Source organism: Homo sapiens, chromosome 14 (assembly GCF_000001405.40).
Source record: "Homo sapiens chromosome 14, GRCh38.p14 Primary Assembly".
NCBI classification, from domain to species: Eukaryota; Metazoa; Chordata; class Mammalia; order Primates; family Hominidae; genus Homo; species Homo sapiens.
The window spans coordinates 63,164,049-63,184,725 of NC_000014.9; the positions used below are offsets into that span (position 1 = coordinate 63,164,049).

At 41.2% G+C, this 20,677-nt stretch overlaps 2 long non-coding RNA genes across 2 annotated transcripts in view, besides 2 other annotated features; one reads left to right on the plus strand and one right to left on the minus strand.

The window, feature by feature from the left end:
* The window catches only part of LOC105370531 (LINE-1 retrotransposable element ORF1 protein-like), a 58,110-nt gene extending 44,449 nt beyond the window's left edge, over window positions 1-13,661 (minus strand). The window contains exon 1 of the long non-coding RNA XR_943934.4: window positions 13,577-13,661. This is a non-coding gene — a long non-coding RNA (LINE-1 retrotransposable element ORF1 protein-like). The remainder of the gene's footprint in view (window positions 1-13,576) is intronic.
* Window positions 2,124-2,785: an enhancer, noted in NCBI's record as "NANOG-H3K27ac hESC enhancer chr14:63632890-63633551 (GRCh37/hg19 assembly coordinates)". NCBI's record gives its function as "activates a minimal SCP1, AML or CMV promoter by ChIP-STARR-seq in primed H9 embryonic stem cells {active_cell/tissue: H9 hESC(primed)}" and the evidence as "EXISTENCE:reporter gene assay evidence [ECO:0000049][PMID:30033119]".
* Window positions 9,245-9,420: a silencer, noted in NCBI's record as "fragment chr14:63640011-63640186 (GRCh37/hg19 assembly coordinates)". NCBI's record gives its function as "represses an EF-1alpha promoter that drives an FKBP-Casp9 reporter gene in an ReSE screen in K562 erythroleukemia cells {active_cell/tissue: K562}" and the evidence as "EXISTENCE:reporter gene assay evidence [ECO:0000049][PMID:32094911]".
* Window positions 13,662-14,321: 660 nt separating the features above from the next.
* On the plus strand, window positions 14,322-15,943 carry LOC105370530 (uncharacterized). Its single transcript, XR_943933.3, has 2 exons — window positions 14,322-14,406; window positions 15,318-15,943. It is a non-coding gene; the product is annotated as an uncharacterized LOC105370530 (long non-coding RNA).
* Window positions 15,944-20,677: the final 4,734 nt, after the last annotated feature.

The following is a 20,677-nucleotide window of genomic DNA, read 5'->3' on the forward strand; positions in this document are numbered from 1 at the left end:
CCAGGCCCAGCCTCAGACTTGGCCAGAGTATCCCCCCTCACCCAGGAAGGGAGAAGACCCCCTGACAGTGAATTTCAACAAAAAAAGTAAGGACTAGTTCTGCCATACCCAGGAGTTTAATCAGCATTCCTTGCTGCCACAGAACACAACCCCAGATCCCTCCCAGGGAGGGAGACAAATCTCAACAGTACCTTTCTACTGAGTATAGCAGTTGGTCCATTCATCCTGATATACTTAATCTCAGGAACCCTCCTGCAACCCTGTCCAACTGCTGAACTGAAATAGTAGTACCTTCTGGCCACAGAATACACCCTGTGGCCCAGCTTGATCAGAGGCAATTGAAATGCCTATCCAGTAGCTCAGCCTGATTGCAGAGGTCAGCCAGTGGTCTTGCCAGATAGCAGAGCCCAGCTAGCTGCCCCACCCAAATTCAGAGCAAAAGCAGCAGCCCAGCCATCTAGAGAACCTAAAAGCAAGCTCTGCCTTTCCAGGGTCATTACCAGCTGACTCACCTAGAAGCATGGGCTAGATTAAATAGTCATTCATTCAGGAAGCACTCATGAAGAGCCTACCAGGTGCCGGCCCTGGCCTGGGGCTGGGCTTAGAGCCGGGGCAGGATGGCCTGGCATCTGCTCCGTGGAGCTCACAGCCCAGCCTAGGCTGGCAACTCCAGTCTGCCCCAGTTTCCAGTTCTGTCCATTCCCCTTGCAGCTCAGCATGGATGAAGCTTTGAAATCCAGCTCTCCCTCTCCCTCTCCCTCTCCCTCTCCCTCTCCCTCTCCCGTCTCCCCACGGTCTCCCTCTCCCTCTGTTTCCACAGTCTCCCTCTTATGCCGAGCCAAAGCTGGACTGTACTGCTGCCATCTCGGCTCACTGCAACCTCCCTGCCTGATTCTCCTGCCTCAGCCTGCCGAGTGCCTGCGATTGCAGGGGCGCGCTGCCACGCCTGACTGGTTTTCGTATTTTTTTTGGTGGAGACGGGGTTTCGTTGTGTTGGCCTGGCCGGTCTCCAGCTCCTAACCGCGAGTGATCCGCCAGCCTCGGCCTCCCGAGGTGCCGGGATTGCAGACGGAGTCTCGTTCACTCAGTGCTCAATGGTGCCCCGGCTGGAGTGCAGTGGCGTGATCTCAGCTCGCTACAACCTCCACCTCCCAGCCGCCTGCCTTGGCCTCCCAAAGTGCCGAGATTGCATCCTCTGCCCGGCCGCCACCCCGTCTGGGAAGTGAGGAGCGTCTCTGCCTGGCCGCCCATCGTCTGGGATGTGAGGAGCCCCTCTGCCTGGCTGCCCAGTCTGGGAAGTGAGGAGTGTCTCCGTCCGGCCACCATCCCATCTAGGAAGTGAGGAGCGCCTCTTTCCAGCCGCCATCCCATCTAGGAAGTGAAGAGCGTCTCTGCCCGGCCGCCCATCATCTGAGATGTGGGGAGCGCCTCTGCCCCGCAGCCCCGTCTGGGATGTGAGGAGCATCTCTGCCCGGCCGCGACCCCGTCTGGGAGGTGAGGAGCGTCTCTGCCCGGCCACCCCGTCTGAGAAGTGAGGAGACCCTCTGCCTGGCAACTGCCCCGTCTGAGAAGTGAGGAGCCCCTCCGCCCAGCAGCTGCCCCGTCTGAGAAGTGAGGAGCCTCTCCGCCCGGCGGCCACCCCGTCTGGGAAGTGAGGAGCGTCTCCGCCTGGCAGCCACCCCATCCGGGAGGGAGGTGGGGGGTCAGCCCCCCGCCCGGCCAGCCACCCCGTCCGGGAGGGAGGTGGGGGGGTCAGCCCCCCGCCTGGCCAGCCGCCCCATCCGGGAGGTGAGGGGCGCCTCTGCCCAGCGGCCCCTACTGGGAAGTGAGGAGCCCCTCTGCCCGGCCAGCTGCCCCGTCCGGGAGGGAGGTGGGGGGTCAGCCCCCCGCCCGGCCAGCCGCCCCGTCCGGGAGGGAGGTGGGGGGGGTCAGCCCCCCGCCCGGCCAGCCGCCCCATCCGGGAGGTGAGGGGCGCCTCTGCCCAGCCGCCCCTACTGGGAAGTGAGGAGCCCCTCTGCCCAGCCAGCCGCCCCGTCCGGGAGGGAGGTGGGGGGTCAGCCCCCACCCGGCCAGCCGCCCCATCCGGGAGGGAGGTGGGGGGTCAGCCCCCCGCCCGGCCAGCCGCCCCGTCCGGGAGGGAGGTGGGGGGGTCAGCCCCCCGCCCGGCCAGCCGCCCCGTCTCCGGGAGGTGAGGGGCGCCTCTGCCCGGCCGCCCCTACTGGGAAGTGAGGAGCCCCTCTGCCCGGCCACCACCCCGTCTGGGAGGTGTGCCCAACAGCTCATTGAGAACGGGCCAGGATGACAATCGCGGCTTTGTGGAATAGAAAGGGGGGAAAGGTGGGGAAAAGATTGAGAAATCGGATGGTTGCCGTGTCTGTGTAGAAAGAAGTAGACATGGGAGACTTTTCATTTTGTTCTATACTAAGAAAAATTCTTCTGCCTTGGGATCCTGTTGATCTGTGACCTTACCCCCAACCCTGTGCTCTCTGAAACATGTGCTGTGTCCACTCAGGGTTAAATGGATTAAGGGCGGTGCAAGATGTGCTTTGTTAAACAGATGCTTGAAGGCAGCATGCTCGTTAAGAGTTGTCACCACTCCCTAATCTCAAGTACCCAGGGACACAAACACTGCGGAAGGCCTTCCGCAGGGTCCTCTGCCTAGGAAAACCAGAGACCTTTGTTCACTTGTTTATCTGCTGACCTTCCCTCCACTATTGTCCTATGACCCTGCCAAATCCCCCTCTGTGAGAAACACCCAAGAATGATCAATAAAAAATAAAAATAAACAAAAAAAAATAGTGAAGGTCTATTCCTGGTAAGGGACACCTATAAAAGCCAGAAAAGGTAGCTGTCTCTGCAAATGCACAGACACCAATGCAAGAATGCAAGAATTACAAAGACTCAGGAAATCATGATACCTCCAACAGAAACTAACAAATCTTCAACAATAGACCCTAAAGAAAAGGAGATCTATGACACGTCAGAAAAAGAATTCAGAATGATCCTCTTTAAAAAAAGAAAAAGAAGAAGAAGAAGAATTTCAAGAATATACAAATTAAAAATTAAATGAAACTTGGAAAATAATACACAAACAAAACAAGGAGTTCGACAAAGAAATAAACATTTTTTTAAACCAAAGAGAAATCCTAGAGATGAAGAATACAATAACTGAAATTAAAAATTCAATAGAAAGCTTCAACATCCAGCTCAATCAAGCTAAAGAAAACATCAGTGAGCTTCCAAACAGAACATTTGAAATTACCCAATCAGAGGAGCAAAAAGAGAAAGAAATAAAGAAAGCCGGCAGGAATTGTGGGACACCATTTAGAGACCTTATTTATGTGTAATAGTAATATAAGAAGAAGAAAGAGAAAAAGAGCCAGGAAATATATTAAAAGGAATAATGGATGAAAACTTCCCTAATCTGAGGAAGGAAGCCAGCATCCAGGTACAAGAAGTTAAAAGGTCTCTGATCAAATTCAACTCAAAGAGGAGTTCACCAAAACACATAATAATTAAACTACCAAAAATCAAAGACAAAGAAAAAATTCTGAGAGCCTCAAGAGATAAGAAATACATCACGTACAAAGGAGTCACAATATGACTATCTGTGGACTTCTCAGCACAAAACCTGCAGGCCAAGAAAGAGTGGGATGATAGAGTCAATGTGCTGAATGTGCTGAAGGAAAATAATCACAAACCAAGAATACTTCATCCAGAAAAGCTGCTTTTCATAAATGAGGCATAAATAAAAACTTTCCCAGATAAACAAAAGTTAAGGAGGTTCATCCTCCACTAGGCATGCATTACAAGAATTGATATTAAAAAAAAGTTCTTTAAACTTTAAACAAAAAACTGCTAATTAATAACATAAAACTTACAAAAGCAAAAAACTCAATGATATAAATAATACAGAGCAATATTCAGAATGCTCTAGGACTGTAATGGTGGTATGTCAAGTAATTTTATCCTTAGTAGGAGGGTTAAAGAATGAAACTATTCATAACAACTACAGCTAAAATGAATTGGAAAGGGATACATACTACAAAATGATAATATACATTTACATAAAAATATAAATTCAGACATCAAAAATATAAAATAGGAAAAAGTCAAAGCATGGAGTTGTATGCAATCAAAGTTTCATTGTTATCAGCTTCAAATAGACTGTTATGAGTGTAAGATGTTCTACATAAGCCTCATGGTAACCAAAAAGCACACACACGCACACACACACACACACACACACACAAAGATACAAAAAATACTACTACAGAAAACCATCGAACCACAAAGCAAGACAACAACAGAGGAAAAAAGAAACAAAGATCTAAAAACAACCAGAAAACAATCTTTTAAATGGCAGTAGTAAGTCTTTACCTGGCAATAATTATCTTTAATGTAAATAGATTAAATTCTCCAAAAAAAATTGTAGAGTGAATGAATGAATTTTAAAAAACAAGACCCAACTATATGCTTCCTACAATAAACTCACCTTTTGTATGCTTTTAAGGACACACATAAACTAAAAGTGAAGGGATGGAAAAAGACTTTTCATCCAAATAGAAACCAAAAGAAAGCAGGGATAACAATACTTACATCAGACAAAACAGACTTAAGTCAAAAACTGTAAAAGGAGAAAAAGGAAGACATTATAAAGAATTGCTTCATCAAGAGGATATAGCAGAGGTAAATATATATGCAACCAAAGTGGAGCACCTACATATCTAAAGCAAATATTAAAAGATTTGAATGGAGAGATAGATTACAATACAATAATAGTAGGAGACTTTAATACACCACTTTCAATAATGAGCAGACCACCCAAACAGAAAATTAATAGGGAACCACTGGACTTGAAGAACACTTTGGACCAAATGGACCTAACAGGCATACACAAAAGTTCCATCTAGCATGGATAAAATACACATTTTCCTCAAGTGCACATGGAACATTCTCCAGGATAGATCATATATTAGCCCACAAGAAAAGTCTTGGCAAATTTAAGATGATTAAAATTATATCAAGTACCTTTCCAAGCACAATGATATGAAACTAGAAATCAATAAGTGGAGGAATTTAGGAAACTGTATTAATATATGGATATTAAGCAACATGCTCCTGAACAACCAATAAATCAATTTTAAAAATTTGAAGGGAAATTTAAAAATATCTTGAGACAAATGAAAATGGAAACACAACACACTAAAATTTACAGGATGCAGCAAAAGCAGTTCCAAGAGGGAAGTTTATAGCAATAAACTCCTACATCAAAAAGCAGAAAGACCACAAATAAACCACTTAATGTTATGCCTCAGGAAAATTTAAAAAAACTAAGCCCAACATCAGCATATGAAAAGAAATATTAACAATTAGAGCACAAATAAGTAAAATAGAGACTAGAAAAGCAATGAAGGTCAATGAAACAAAAGGTCAATGAAACTGAGAGTTGGTTTGTGAAAAAATAAGCAAAAGCAACAAATGAGGTAGAATAACCAAGAAAAAGCACTCAAGTAAAGTCAGAAATGAAAGAAGAGACATTACAACCAACAAAATAGAAAAACAAAGGATCATCAGAGACTAATGTGAACAACTATATGCCAAAAAATTGGATAACCTAGAAGAAATGGATAAATTCCTAAACACACACAACTTACCAAGACTGAATCACAAAGAAATAGAAAATCTGAACAGACCAATAACAAGTAAGGAGATTGAATCAGTAATAAAAAGTTTCCCATCAAAGAAAAACCCAAAATCTGATGGTTTCACTGCTTAACTCTACCAAACATTTAAAGACAAATTAATGTCAACCCTTCTCAAACTCTTCCAAAAAATTAGAGGAGAGAACCCTTTCAAACGCATTCTGCAAGGCCAGCATTACCCTTATACCAAAGCCAGACAAGGACATCACAAGAAAATGAAACTACAGGCCAATATCATTGATTAACATAAATGTAAAACTCCTCAACATAATAATACCAAATCAAACTCAACAACACATTAAAAGGATCATCCACCATGATGAAATTGAATTTATGCCTGGGATGCAAAGAGGTTTCAACATATGCAAATCAATAAACATGTACATCACGTTAACAGAGTAAGGAACAAAAGTCATATGATCACCTAATTAGATGCAGAAAAAGCATTGACAAATTCAACATCCTTTCATGATTAAAAAAATTCAATACATTAGATATAAAAGAAATGTACTTCAACATGATAAAGCCCATATATAATAAGCCCATACCTAACATTATACTCAACAGTGAAAAATTGGAACCCTTTCCTACAAGATCCAAAAGAAGGCAAGGATGCCCATTCTTGACACTTCTATTCAACACAGTATTGGAAGTTCTTGCCAGAACAATAAGGCAAGAAAAAGAAACGAAAGACATCCAAATAGGAGAGGAAGAAATGAAACTGTCACTATATGCTGACAACATGATCTTATATATAGAAAACCATAAAGAGTCCACCAACACACTGTTAAAAATGATAAACAAATTCAGTAAAGATGCAGGATTTTAAAAAAATCAACATTCAAAAATCAGTAGTGTTGCACTACACTAACAACAAACTTTCCAAAAAAGAAATCAAGAGAATAATCCCATTTATGATTGATATTAAAATAAAATACATTACTTAGAAATAAATTTAACCAAGGAGGTGAAAGACCTGTACACTGAAAACTATAAAACATTAATGAAGGAAATTGAAAAAGACACAAATAAATGGAAATATATCCCATGTTTCTGGATAAGAAGACTTAATATTGTTAAAATGTCCATACTACCCAAAGAAATATACAGTCAGTGCAATCCCTATCAAAATTCCAATGTAATTTTTATAAATACATTAAAAATACTCCTAAAATTTATATGGAACCACAAAAATATTGAATAGTCAAGTCAATAACAAGCAAAAAGAACAAAGCTAGAAGCATCACGCTACCTATTTCAAATTATACTACACAGCAATAGTACTAAAACACCATGGTGCTGGCATAAAAATAGACACATGGATCAATGGAACAGAAGAGAGAGCCCAGAAATGAACCCATACATCTGCAATCAATTGATTTTGGACACATATACAATGGGAAAAGGACATCCTCTTCAATAGTGTTGAGAAAACTGGATATCCATATGCAAAAGAATGAACTGAGACCCTTATTTCACAATATATACAAAAATCAACTCAACTCTTAACCATAAGACCAGAAACTTTAAAATTACTAGAAGAAAACGTAGCAGGGAAAACTACATGACATTGGTCTGAACAATGATTTTGACAACCTGTGGATTCAGAGAAAATATTTACAAACCATACATCCGATAAAGGATTAATTTCAAAAATATATAAGGAACTCAAACAACTCTATAGAAAGAAAATAATAGTAATCCAATTAAGAAATGGGCAAGAGTTCTGAATAAACATTTCTCAAAAGAAAACATATGAATGACTAACAAATTAATGAAAAAATGCTCAATATCACTAATTATTAGGGAGATGCAAATTAAAACCACAATGAGATAGCATCTCATGCTTGTTAGAATTGGCTATTATCAAAAAGACAAAAAATAAGTGTTGGCAAAGAAGTGGAGAAAAGAGAACACTTTTATACTGTTGGTGGGAATGTGAATTAATACAACCATTATGGAAAATGGTATGGAGCTTTCTCAATGAACTGAAAATAGATCCACCATATGATCCAGCAATCCCACTTCTAGATTATTTAGCTGAAGGTTTGAAATAATTAATTGTGTCAAAGAAATGTCTGAACTTCCGTGTTCACTGCAGCACTATTCACAATAGCCAAATTAAACAATCAACCTAAATACCCATCAACAGACAAAGAAAGAAAATGTGGTACATATACACAATGAAAAAAGAAGAAATTATATCATTTGCGACAACATGGACGGTATTGGAGAATATTATGATACGAGAAATAAGCCAGAAAGACAAATAGACATGTTCTCACTTAATATGGGGAGCCTAAAACAACTGAGCTCATAGAAGCAGAGAGTAGAATGGTGGTTAACAGAGAGGCTGGAGGACATAGGAGGAATGGGGAGACAATAGTCAAAGGGTACAAAGCCTGAGTTAGATAAAAGGAATACGTTCGATTTTTTTGGACCTAATGCACAGCACGAGGAATATAACTAATAATTGAGTACCATACATTTCAATATCACTAAGAGAATAAATTTTAAATGTTCTCATCACAAAAAATATTAAATGTTTGAGGTGATGGATATATTAATTTGCTTGATTTAATCATTACATATTGTATTCATAAATCATCACTTTGTACCCTATAAACATATATAACCATAATTTGACAGCATATAATTTAAAATTTTTAAATATGTCTACTTTGTTTTCTTTTCAGTTGTACAGGTTTTTTACACTGTGAATCTTTCCATTCTACTTGATATCAAATGAAAAATCTGCTGAGAATTCTCAAAACTGGAAAAAGCTGAGATAAAATATCTCAATATAGAAGGGACAATGATACATACGTATCAAGGCCAATCAGTTAGAAGTGCACAGCTATTTTTCATGTACTCTTCAGATCATTGTTTTGGCAGACAGCAGGTTCTGGAGTCAGACTGCCTGTGCTCAAATCCCAGCTCTTCAACTAGTAGGTTTAATAACCCTAGGCAAGTTTAGTAACCTCTGTGCCTCAGTTCCCTCAGGAAAGGATAGTATTATCTCAGAGGAAGGTCAGTTGTAAGAATTACATAGTATGTCTGAATTTGGGTTCTCCTGAAAGAAGACCCTGAGATGGGTCTTAGGATCAGGTAGCTTGTTGGGGAGGTGAAAGAGTGGAGGGAGGAGTTGGAAGAGTGAGTCAGGGAGGGAGAAATGCCATGCCAGCTAAGGATGAACTGGTGGGCTGGTTATCATGCTGAGCACTTGCAGCTCAATCCTCCAGGGGAATTTCTGAGGAACCTTATAGAATGGTCCTCAAAACTGTCTCTCTTAAGGATGAGAAGCTGATGCGTTTATACACTAACTTCCAATCTGCGTTTGTTGAGGTTCACTCCTGGGAGCTTTAACTTCTCTGCACAAACTGGCTGGCTTGTTCACTGACTGGGCAACCTTCCCCAGCTTCAGAAGAAGCCGTGAGGCAGGAAAGCTAAGGCATATACTTGAGAGGGAATGATGGCCTCAAACACAGAGATTCCCACTGCAGCCGCACTAAAACCAAGCTGATCTATGCACTGCGGCTTGGGGTTCAGAAATTATCTGGTGTGGGGATGGGTGCGGTGGCTCAAGCCTGTAATCCCAGAACTTTGGGAGGCCGAGGCGGGGGGATCACAAGGTGAGGAGTTTGAGACCAGCCTGACCAACATAGTGAAACCCCATCTCTACTAAAAATACAAAAATTAGCTGGGCAGGGTGGTGCCCACCTGTAATCCCAGCTACTCAGGAGGCTGAGGCAGGAGAATCGCTTGAACCCGGGAGGCGGAGGTTGCAGTGAGCTGACATCATGCCACTGCACTCCAGCCTGGGCGACAAGAGGGAGACTCTGTCTCAAAAAAAAAAACAAAAAAAAAGAAAAGAAAAGAAAAAAAGAAATTATCTGGTGTGATGCATGAAATGCTAAGCACAGGGTATGAAAAATAGCATCTGCTTGAAAATTCTAATTAGTAGTAGTAGTAGTATCAGAATCAACGCTGAAATGTAAGGAAGGTAAACACCATTCACCTTTTGGATCCTGAAGACTAAATAATGTTGACACATACCCAGATAGAAGATTCAGGCAATAGTGCAAGTCACAGAAGAGCATAAAATAATGAGCTCAACTAGGATTCCACAGGGTTCTAGGTGCCCACAGGATATTGTGGTGGAGAGATCTAACAAATAGAGGGGAATTTTTGTCTGGAACTCAAGGGAGAATGAGTGAGAGCTGGAGGTGGAGACTTGGGAACCATCAGTATCTGCATTAAAGTTCAAATATTGATGTGTGATCCTAGAAGAAGGAAAATTCATTGAAGAAAATAAGAGGGCTAAGACCAGAGCCTCAGGCAACAGTGGTATCTAAGGGAACATGAAAGGAGAGTGATGCTGGAAAGCAAACTCGGTAGAATAATCCTGCCAGGGAAGTAGGAGGCAAGCAGGAGAGGGTGGTGTCATGAAAACCAGAGCAGAGAGAAAGAGGAAAGTTTCCAGAAGGAGAGTGTGTAAAGCAGTGTCAAATGCTGCAGAGACTAACATGAAAACAACTAAAAAACTTAATTACATGCTTTCTTTAGGATGTATTTGTTTTTAATGGAATATGATTTTAGTTTGGAAAAGTAGAAACAATAAGAGTAATGAATAGAAACTGAAGCACAGGAAAATCTATTAAATTCAATTCAATGTGATACGCTTTTTGAGCACCTATAGTGTAGACACAGATTATCCAAAAATCATGCAAAACTAATAATTGAAAATTCTTTAATCCTCCTCATCTGTTTCTCTTCTTGAAAAGTGGGTTTTATGGTATGAAAATTTCATATTATGGAATTGGCCGCAAGCTTTAACTCTATTTGTGTGCATTACTTGATCAGCAAGCATTCCTAACTGCTTTTTCTCCACTAGAATGCAAGGCATGTCATCTCAACAAAGGAAGCTATGCAAGCCAACCTAATTATTAATACACCCACTGGCTTTTCCAAACATATGCTTAAACGTCGTCTTCATTCTGTGATTTGATAGCCTAGTATTGGAAAACAAGAAACCTCACTTGTTTCATTGCCATAATAACCAATTGTCTTTTAGCTTTATGAGGAGGCATTGGCCACTAGGTGGAGAAAGATACCCAGTGACCCCCTAGGCAAAGACATGAACTGGATTTTTACCTCCCCGGATTCACTTAGTAACTCTCTAGACAGTAGGTTGAATTCAGTTGCGAACAAAAGAAATCTCTATGAATGGTAATGGCAAGTATTCCAGGCACTTAGGGGTCATTACTCTTTTCCCTGGAATCTATGCTTTCACTATCCAAGAATGAGTCCCTGCCCTTCTGATCAAGATAACCCTCAGAATTTGAATTAATGAGTCTTATTGTTCTGTCTCTCAGCCTTGAGCCTCTGCACAGCCCCAGGGAACACAGCACTAGCTACATGTGTGAAATAGAAAGAATTATTCTCCTCCATCCCCTCTCCAGCCATGGTGCCACCCTGAGATACCACCTTTGCCCTTAAAACACGTAAACCATACCATCCAGAAATCATTACATTTTTACTGGAAACTTCAGAAGGACAAAAGGTCTTCAGGACCTAAAGGAATAAAACTGTTAAGGGTTAAGTTTTAGAACCGCAACTGGCAGACTCATAAGCCATCCTAGGACCTGCCTTGATCTAGAATTATAGTAAATGTCCCATTATCTTTGAATAACTAATGTGAATGATATTTTATAAAGAAGTCTGTCTCTCTAGCCAAAAGACATTTTTGTTCAAACAAATTAAAGAATTTAATTGCTTATAAAACTTTTTCTACATGCTTTATTTCTCAAACTTTTAAAATCAGAGCATAATCTTGTTTTTTTTCTTTCTAATCTTTTCCTCTGATTACACATCTCTCCTATTTTTAATGCATTAATCACTTTTACAAAAGACCTTAAAAATAGACGTTTAACTATTTCTCCAAATAGTTATACACTTATTATTTTCTCATCCCTTATTTAAACAGTTAGGCATGTCTAAATATGTGAGTTATTTGCTGAAAAATATTTTCCTACTTTCCAATTGATCAGTGCCGGCAGAGAGGAAAAATAAGAACAGACATAATTGTTTCACAGACTTCATTATCTTCTTGCCCAAGAATATTCCAGCATCTGTCTTTTTAAACCTTGCATTATAAAAATTAAAAGAAAAAAGTGGAATAATGAATGCACAGAGAGGTGAATAATAAAAGCTAAAAAGGAAACTCAGTGGAATTGAATGAAGTAAGGACTACACGGAAAATATCTGATGAGGTCTCAAGGCTGCATCTGAAGACCTTATTGGTTTTTACCCCAGACTCGTTCCTTTCTAACCATTGGTCTTTTCAGAATTGATTCCTTACTCTCCTTTCATCTCCAGCTGCTGCTTTCCCTGATGTTTTGGATCTCGTAAAGATGCCAGTAGTTCTAAAGGTAACCATTAACTTTAATTATTTTATGGAGAAATTGCTATGATTAACTTAGTTGATACAAACATTTTGAGATCAAACCTTTTACTCAGCTAGATTACTTCAACCTTCAAGAAACCATGCCCCATGCACATGTGCAAACTCCATGCATATATAGAATCACAAAAATTTAGAGTGGAGACCTCAGGCAGGATCTAACCCCGGTCCCCTCATTGAATGCCAGGACATGAAAGCCTGGCACTGAGAAGCACCTTCCTCCATATCTCATAATGATGGGTGATGAATTTCACCCATGAAACAGTGCTCCTCATTCCTGATCCAGTGCTGATCCCAAGTTAAGATCTTCCTGATGTACAGAGGAGTTCAGCCTCAACTGAGTGTCCTTGTTACACTGATGGAGAACAGCAGAAGCTCTATGATTTCTACCACCAGAAATAAACAGATTAGTGGTCTGTACAGCTTGGATTTCTCAGACAGTCTGGTCTTCCTACATGAGGGGCTAGCAGAGCCATTAGCTCAAGCTTCAAACATAGACTTTTCACCTTAAACTCCAAATGATATTAAACATTTAGTTACAGAAAGACAAAAATGGGACTGAAGGACATTCTCCACATAACTTGAAACTTGGGTCCCTCCCAACTTTCAACCCTGGAACTTTCAACCCTGGATGACCACCCTGTAGGGCACCAGGATCTTATGAATAACACAATTGTGTTACATGATGCATCGCATGTGAGCGCTTATGTTAACATCATTGATTTGTTCAATGCAATTACGTAAACTATATAGATGCTTTGGTATTTCACTTTTTCATATACCAGAAGACTTAGAAATGAAAGGGATCTGACTTTTTTGGAGAAGCTCTGCTAAGAGAAGTACGACCAGGTCATTTGTGGGAAAATAGGCAATTCATCTAATAAAAACAGAGGCACCACTCACAAATACTTTTGCTCTGCTAGACATTCTATTTGGAGCTTTGTAATACCATACCATGAAATAATACATGATTCTATGCAATCTTCACAATACCCTATGACCTAGGAACTATTATCACACCCAATTCACAGATGAGGAAACTGGGGCTTAGGTTAAGTGCTCAAGCACATACAATTAGTAAGCAGTTAAGCCAGGACTAGAAAGAACCCACTAGTGGCTGACACCAAAGCCACATTCCAGCCATGCTGGATCACCTCCCAAGGTGGGTTAAAATTTTTACGAAGCAATCCTAATGCTTCAAGAAAATCATCAGGAGGTCTTCACCTCCCACTTAAGGACCTGTCAATCACATATTAAGTTCTTCCCCTCAGCTGGTACTGCCCATAACTTAATAACATAGAGGACATGAAATGCTACAGCTTGTCCTAGAGAGGTATTTGTGGGAGGGTCTACATTATACTGAAAGCTGAATGTCAGTGGCATGAGGACTAACTGCTGTTTGACTTACCTGTGATCCTACATCCTTTCCCCAGGCTTTGTTTCTCACTCACTTCTGACAGTAGCCATTTCTGGTCCTTGTTTGCATTATAATCTATTGAATGGTGCAGTTAGGTTGCTCCTCAGTTTTTCTGCCCACTTCAAAATAATAACCAAATCCTGTTTCTGTTTCTTTCTCCATAAACTCTAAAGAACAACATTTTTGTCCAATATTCTCTCAGGGCCCATGATAGGCCAAACCATCTCAAAGCCTAAGGTTATGTGAGTTGCTCACCCAGGACTGGGACCAGGTAAAGTCAGAAGGATGGGAGAGTTTGTCTTCAGTGCCTCTCTTCACTTGCTCTCCACACAACTGTCTTCTGTTCTGCTCTTCCTGGACCTCTTATGCCTGCATACTGCCCTGGATTCCTGTAGTTAGCTTGGTAATGATATTACTAATGGCCATATGTATTTGTGTCTGTCTGGTCACGGTTCCTTACTCCTCCAGAAGACACCTGGAGGAAGTAAAGCCATTGGTAGAATTTCAGAAACTGCACACCTGGTTGGAAGGCAGTTTCAGGAAAGAGTGGCTGCTATGACAGGTAATTGATTATTTGCTCACAGAAGTAGGCACTTCCTAAAACTAATTGTTACATCTCAGACCATGCATGGCCAAGTGTGTACCTTCTTCCTTGCATCAAGATGAGGAAGCCTAGGAAAGACAGAGCCACCCAATGGAGAGGCCTCAAGAAGAAGTTCAGCCCAAGAGGCAGAATCCAGTGTCTGCAGGGTTCAAGGCTATAGAGAAAGGAAGTGGTCCAGGCAAGCTGTCAACATCAGGAGCATAACACAAATTGGCAGGTGGGTGGAACAAGAAGGAGGAGATTCACCCTAAAGCAGTCACATTCAGAGATGCGTAGAGAAAAGAACCACTGGGGAGACAGGGCTCAGCAGCCAGGCTGGGGGGAAGGAGCACTGCGTGAATCTCTGGCATGCCGAGGGCCAGACTAGCACAGGTCCCTGACTCTAAAGGGACCAAGATACCAGGCAGGTAGCAGAGATGTTAATTTGACTCAGGAAATAAGACAAGAATCTATCTCCTGAGTATAAGTGCAAGGCCTACATCCCAGGGTAAAACCTCCCTCATCATAATGGAGATACAAGTTCAAGGCTAGACTTGGTGCTCTGGCCCCTAGACAGAGTCCTGCAAACTCACTGGATTGTAGTCAGGGTAGATCCATCCTTAAGATGTGGAGACAACTGGCCCAGCAGCTGAAAGAGCAGTGACTCCAGGTTGGAGGTACGAGATGGGGTTAGGGAGGGTCCATGTAACACTTTATGCTAACTAGGAAAAGGCATCCCAAGCAGACTGTGGTAAACCTGTGGACACAGTGCTTGGCAAGTGCACCACATTTTTGTGTTATTTGGTAAGATGCCTCTCCCAGTTGGACCTAGGCCTGCACAGGCACAGCCTGATGTGTGGGAAGCAGACTAGATTCTGGCCTCCTCCTTCTTCCTCAGTCAGGCACTGCGATGGTAATGTTAGGTGTCAGCTTGACTGGATTGAGTCACCTAGATGGCTGGTGAAGCATTGTTTCTGGGTGTGTCTGTAAGGGTGTTTCAGGAAGAGATTGCCATGTGAGTCAGTGGGCTGACAGAGGAAGACCTGCCCTCAACGCGGCCAGCACCATCCAGTAAGCTACAGGCCCATTTGGGACAAAACTGGCAGGAAAAGGAGGATTTACCTTCCCTACTGTCTCTCTCCCCTACAGAGCAGGACCTTTTTCTCCTCCTTCCTTTGGACATCAGACTCCAGGTTCTTCAGCTTGCAGACTCTGGGACTTGCCCCAGCAGCCTCCCAAGGGGGCTCTTGGGCCTGAGGCCTGCACTGTCAGCTTCCCTGGTTCTAAGGCTTTGGACAGAAACTGAGCCACACTACCAGCTTGGAGCCATGCTATCGCTTCTAAGATTCTCCAGCCTGCACTTGGCCTATTGTGGGACTTCGTCTCTGTGACTCCGTGAGCCAATTCCTCCTAATAAATCTCCTTCCGTTTATCCTACTGATTGTATCTCTGGAGAACACTGAGTAATGCAGGTACCCTTGGGCAGTAAACAACCTGTCAAACAATACCCAGCAGACTTGGAAGGCACAGTGACTTCACAGAGAGAAGATTGTACTGGAAAGGCCTAGAATTGAGGGCAATGGAAGGGTTTTCTTTCTCCCCTCTAATGTATAACCAAGCTTCCTACTCAAACCCTATGTGATAAAAAAGGAGAATCAAGCGGAACCTGCATCAGTATCTAATCAACAGACTTTTTTCCCTCCTAGAAAGGGCATTTAAATATCAATTCAAGCTAAGAAAACTGAGAAACTCCAGAATAAATGCTTTGGCAAAAACATTTGTATTCCACAACTTTCTTTTCATAGTCAAGTTATGTTCCTTCTTTGTTTTTTTCCAGGCCTTCCTAGCAGAGTTTTTGCTGTCTCTGACCAAGCTGAAGGTAAGTTGGACAGATGCACCATTCAGAGGCCAAGTTCCACACAGCAGTTTTTTTTTCTAGAAGTAACATCTGGCTCTATGGCTTTTTCCCCCTTGGAGACTCAGCGGCTGTGGACGTGGCAGGCTGCTTGGCTTGCTTCACAGCTGTGGGGCCACGTCCCAAGTTCCTCTGGCATGAGCTGCAGCTGTGCAACATCTGACTTCATCCTTCCACAACCCCCTGCACCCCTTGCCCTTTTACTTGAGGCAGACCCCCAAGAAGTCCAGGCAAAACTCTGGAAAACATGGGATGGTGTCAGCACTCTGGTCTCTGGCCCTTGGTAGCCATTAGAAGTAAAACCACACCTTGTAGGGACCAGTGTTCTGTCACCATGTTGATGGTTTGAGGAAGAGATTAAACTCTTTGGTCAGGAAAGACCTGGGGGAAAATATGAGTTTCTATTCACAAAGGAGATGAAAAGAAAAATCTTTTTGGAGAGTGGGGCCTTTTCTGTCAGTGAGACCTGAAGATTAAAAATGAAGAGAAGAGCCTATAAAGATACTTATGAAAGAATGGAGAGCAACCGTCCCTAAGGATCCAGAAATACCTGTGAATTGGAAGGATTTCAGTTCTGGTAATTCTTTGAAAACAACGCTTTCATTTTCTAAGTGATACATCCTCATTAAAGAAAATATAGAAAGAGAAAGAAAAATATATGTACCTAGAGAGAATCACACTTCTTCCACCCAAACTCAGACCATTTGGGGCATTGCCTTCTTTCCCTTTTATTCTTGTTTATAGAATTCTGGGGAATTGAGCTTACCCCTAATCATACATGATATATGTTTATATATGTACAATATTAAATTATACAAGTTTTGCCATGTAATTAATGTTCTTTGTAACAACTTTTAAGGGTGGCATAATTGAACAGTTATGGCAATTTTCTAGATCTATTATAATTCTGTTTTAATAGACACTAAAGAGACATTTTAAAGAAGCAAACAAAATCAGTAAGAAGAAAACCTGGATTTAGGCAATAAGAAGAAAGAAAAAGTAAACTCCAAGGTTTATTTATATAGCCCAGAGATTAGCAGGATGGTGATATCAATAGCAGAAATATTGAAGCAAGAAAGAGCTTGAGAGGTTGCCTAGTTCCTGGCTACTCAAAGTGTAGCCCATGAACCACCAACATCAGCATCATCAGGGAGCTTGTTAGAGGTGCAGAATCTTATCCTCCACCTCAGACCTACTGAATCAGCATCAGCATCTTAAAAGGGCCTTCAGATAGTTGATATGCCCAACAAAGATCAAGAATCACTGGCTCAATACAATCCCTTCCCCCAACCAGAGATGTAAAGTCTGGCTGCAGTCACACAGCTAAATAGTGGAGATCTGGTCTTTGGTTCTATTAAACCAAAATCTATTTTATTCAACCTCTAGTAATAATAATACAAAATAATATTTATCAATAACTAAGTGTCAGGAATGATTCTAATTGCTTTATATTTAATGCTTACAACAACCATGTTAGCATCCCTTTTTATGATCAAAAAACTGAGTTTCAAGTAACTTGCCCAAGGTCCCATATTAACTGGCAGAACTGAGATTGAACCCCGGGTATCTGTCTTCACAGTTTATACTCCTAACCACCAAAGTAAACTGGATGATGGATGGATGGATGGATGGATGGATGGATGGATGGATGGATGAATGGGTGGGTGGACAATGGGCCACTTTGCTGTACTTTAGCCTAGCTAAACTGACAAGCATACATTTAAGTATGTTAGGGATATACTTAAGTATGTATGGGACAGTATGCATAGCTATATGAATTTGAAACAAAGAAGTCTAGTTCCAAAGCCCTCACCTGCTCTTAAACAGTCACTACACCAAAACTGCAAAAGAAAACAGTATGCTAGGGTTATCCTTAATGGCTGAAAATCACTATAGGACAATGTAAGGAGTTTTACATCTCCAACAAATTGGCTATATGTTAGGCTTCCCTCTATCGGACTACTATTTTTTGTTTACCTATGAGTATCTTCTCCCAATTCATTCATTCATTTCAATCTTTATCATACCTATTTGTTCATTATTAGTTATTATGTGGCTGCTCAAGAGGTTGTGATGATCAAAGCAGACAGTCCCTACCCTCATACGATTTGCTAAAGGGAAATACAAAGATTAAATAAATAATTGCACAAATATACATTTAACTTCAAGCTGTGCTGTGAAGGAAAACTACATAGCTGAGAAAAGACAGCAGGGGGTGGTAACCTTGCCTTGAAGTCAGTCTCACTCTTCTCTACCCATCCCTGCAGTTTCACACATAGTTGACCTTCTTCTGTCATTGTTTATTCACCTAAATTTCAAACTCATTTTGCAAATATTCACATTCTTCCAAAATTACATCATTCCCTAACTCCTCCCATCAAATTCAGCATCTGTACTAGTTTCCTACTGCTGCTGTAACAAATTACCACAAGTTTAGTGGCTTAAAACAAATTTATTAGCTCACAATTCTGGAGATAAGAAGTCCAAACGGACATTCCTGGGCTAAAATCAAGGTATCAGCAGGGCTAGTTTCCTTTTGGAGGCTCTAGGGGAGAACAGGCTTCCTCGGCTTTTCCAGCTTCTAGAGGCTGCCCCCATTCTTTGGCTTGTAGCCTCCTTCTACTGGCAATTTCATTACTTTGATCTCTACTTCTGTCATCACAGCTCCTTCTGTGACTCTGATTCTCAAGCCTCTCTCTTTCGCTTATAAGGACTCCTTTGATTACATTGATTCCACCTGGATAATCCAGAATAATACTCTCTATCTCAAGATACTTAATGTAATCACAGCTTCCAAGTCACTTTTGACATGCATAGTAACACATTCACAGGTCCAGAAGATTAGCATGTGGCCATCTTTGGGGCCATTATTCTGCCTATCACAGTATGTTCCTTCTTTCTCCCGTGCCCTGTTCCTAGGCTCTGTCTCAATATATTCCCTTCATCCTATTACCCACTGTGTCCTTCTCATTCTTTCCCCTCATAATAAAACCATATAATGGTTCCAGTAACACGTCAGCCAAACAGGAAGAAGGAAGCATAATGGGTCAATCCCTGAGCCATGACTTTTCCACTGAAGCATAACCACTCCTTTTTGTTTTGTTTTTTCAAACAAAGCTATTGTCTTGGATCTGATTTTCTAAAAATCAAAACATCACGTTTCCTGGTTCAGAATGTGCCTACAAAACAATAGGAGGCTATCATTTTTTCCAGGTAACTTTTATAAAGGAAAAAGTTACATTGAAACAGTTCATTATATTGATATAGACAATGAGAAGGTCAATTAGGAAGTATATATCCAAAGCACATTCAATTCCAAAATCTATCCTAAAAAAAGTAATTAGGGATAGGCACAAAGATGCACAAATGTTAATGATGAAGAGTAGAGAACAACCTAAATGTTCAAGATTACAGAATCAATTCATGAATTATTACATATCCTGTGCAGAGGGCCACTATATAGCCTTTAAAATGATATCATGGTACATATTAAGTGACATGAAATAGAGTAGCGACCTCAATTTTCAGAACAATACAACATGGTTGATTAATATATATTACACCCAGTTATATTACTAAGATTATACCCAGTTATAAACAACCACAGGGAGTTTTATTTCTTCTTCTTTTGGCTATGGTTTTCTAATTACCCCACTGTCATTTACATTACTAAGCCATAAAAAAGCAAAGTAGGATTTACTGATGAAAACACGTGAATATTTAAAATTTTTTAATCATAGCAATAGTAACTAGAATGCATTTAGTTCTTAGGAGTTTGAAAACCATATTCTCATGCAAACTTTGCATCCCCATAAAGTAATCTGGACACTAACAAGGAATATTTATACTCAAAACAATCGGTGAGAATCCACACAGCTTAAGTAGCAGAAACAAGATCACCCTTCTCCCGTTGCCTGCGATGCTCTTGTCTCAGAGACCGACTGAAGCTTTTTCAATGTGCCACACTTATTGTCAATGTAGGGCCGGTACATTGGCTCTTCCCTGTGCCTGGAAAACTCTTCCCACAGATCTTCACAGAGCTGGCTCCTTCTTATTACATAAGACTCAACTCAAATGTCATCTTCTCAAAGAAGTCTTTCCTCACCATCTGGTCGAAAATGTTTCTCCTACCCCTTCTCCTAGTCACAGTTTTCTTCATGACGCACATCTGAAATTATCCTATTTATTACATTGTTTGCTCATGTATCCCTTGCTTCTCCCGCCACCCACCCATCACCACTACCACCTTTACCCTCCTAAAATGTAAAGCACATGAAAGCAAGGCTATTTTTTGCCCTGTTTAATTCCTAGAACATGTCTCACATACAGGAGGCACTCAATACATTTTTGTTATATAATTATCAGTACAGGTTAACTCTGAAGAAACTTTATCTGTTGCATTATAGAACACTGATTATAAAAGGGTTTTTAAAAATATTTTGTAACATTCAATTCCTTATCATGTACTTTTTTCTTTTTTAATTGAATTATGACTTACATTAAATGCACAGATCTTAAATGTATAGTTTCATAAATTTTGACAATTACAAACCCACTTAACCCACATCCCAATCAAGATACAGAGCATTTCAGT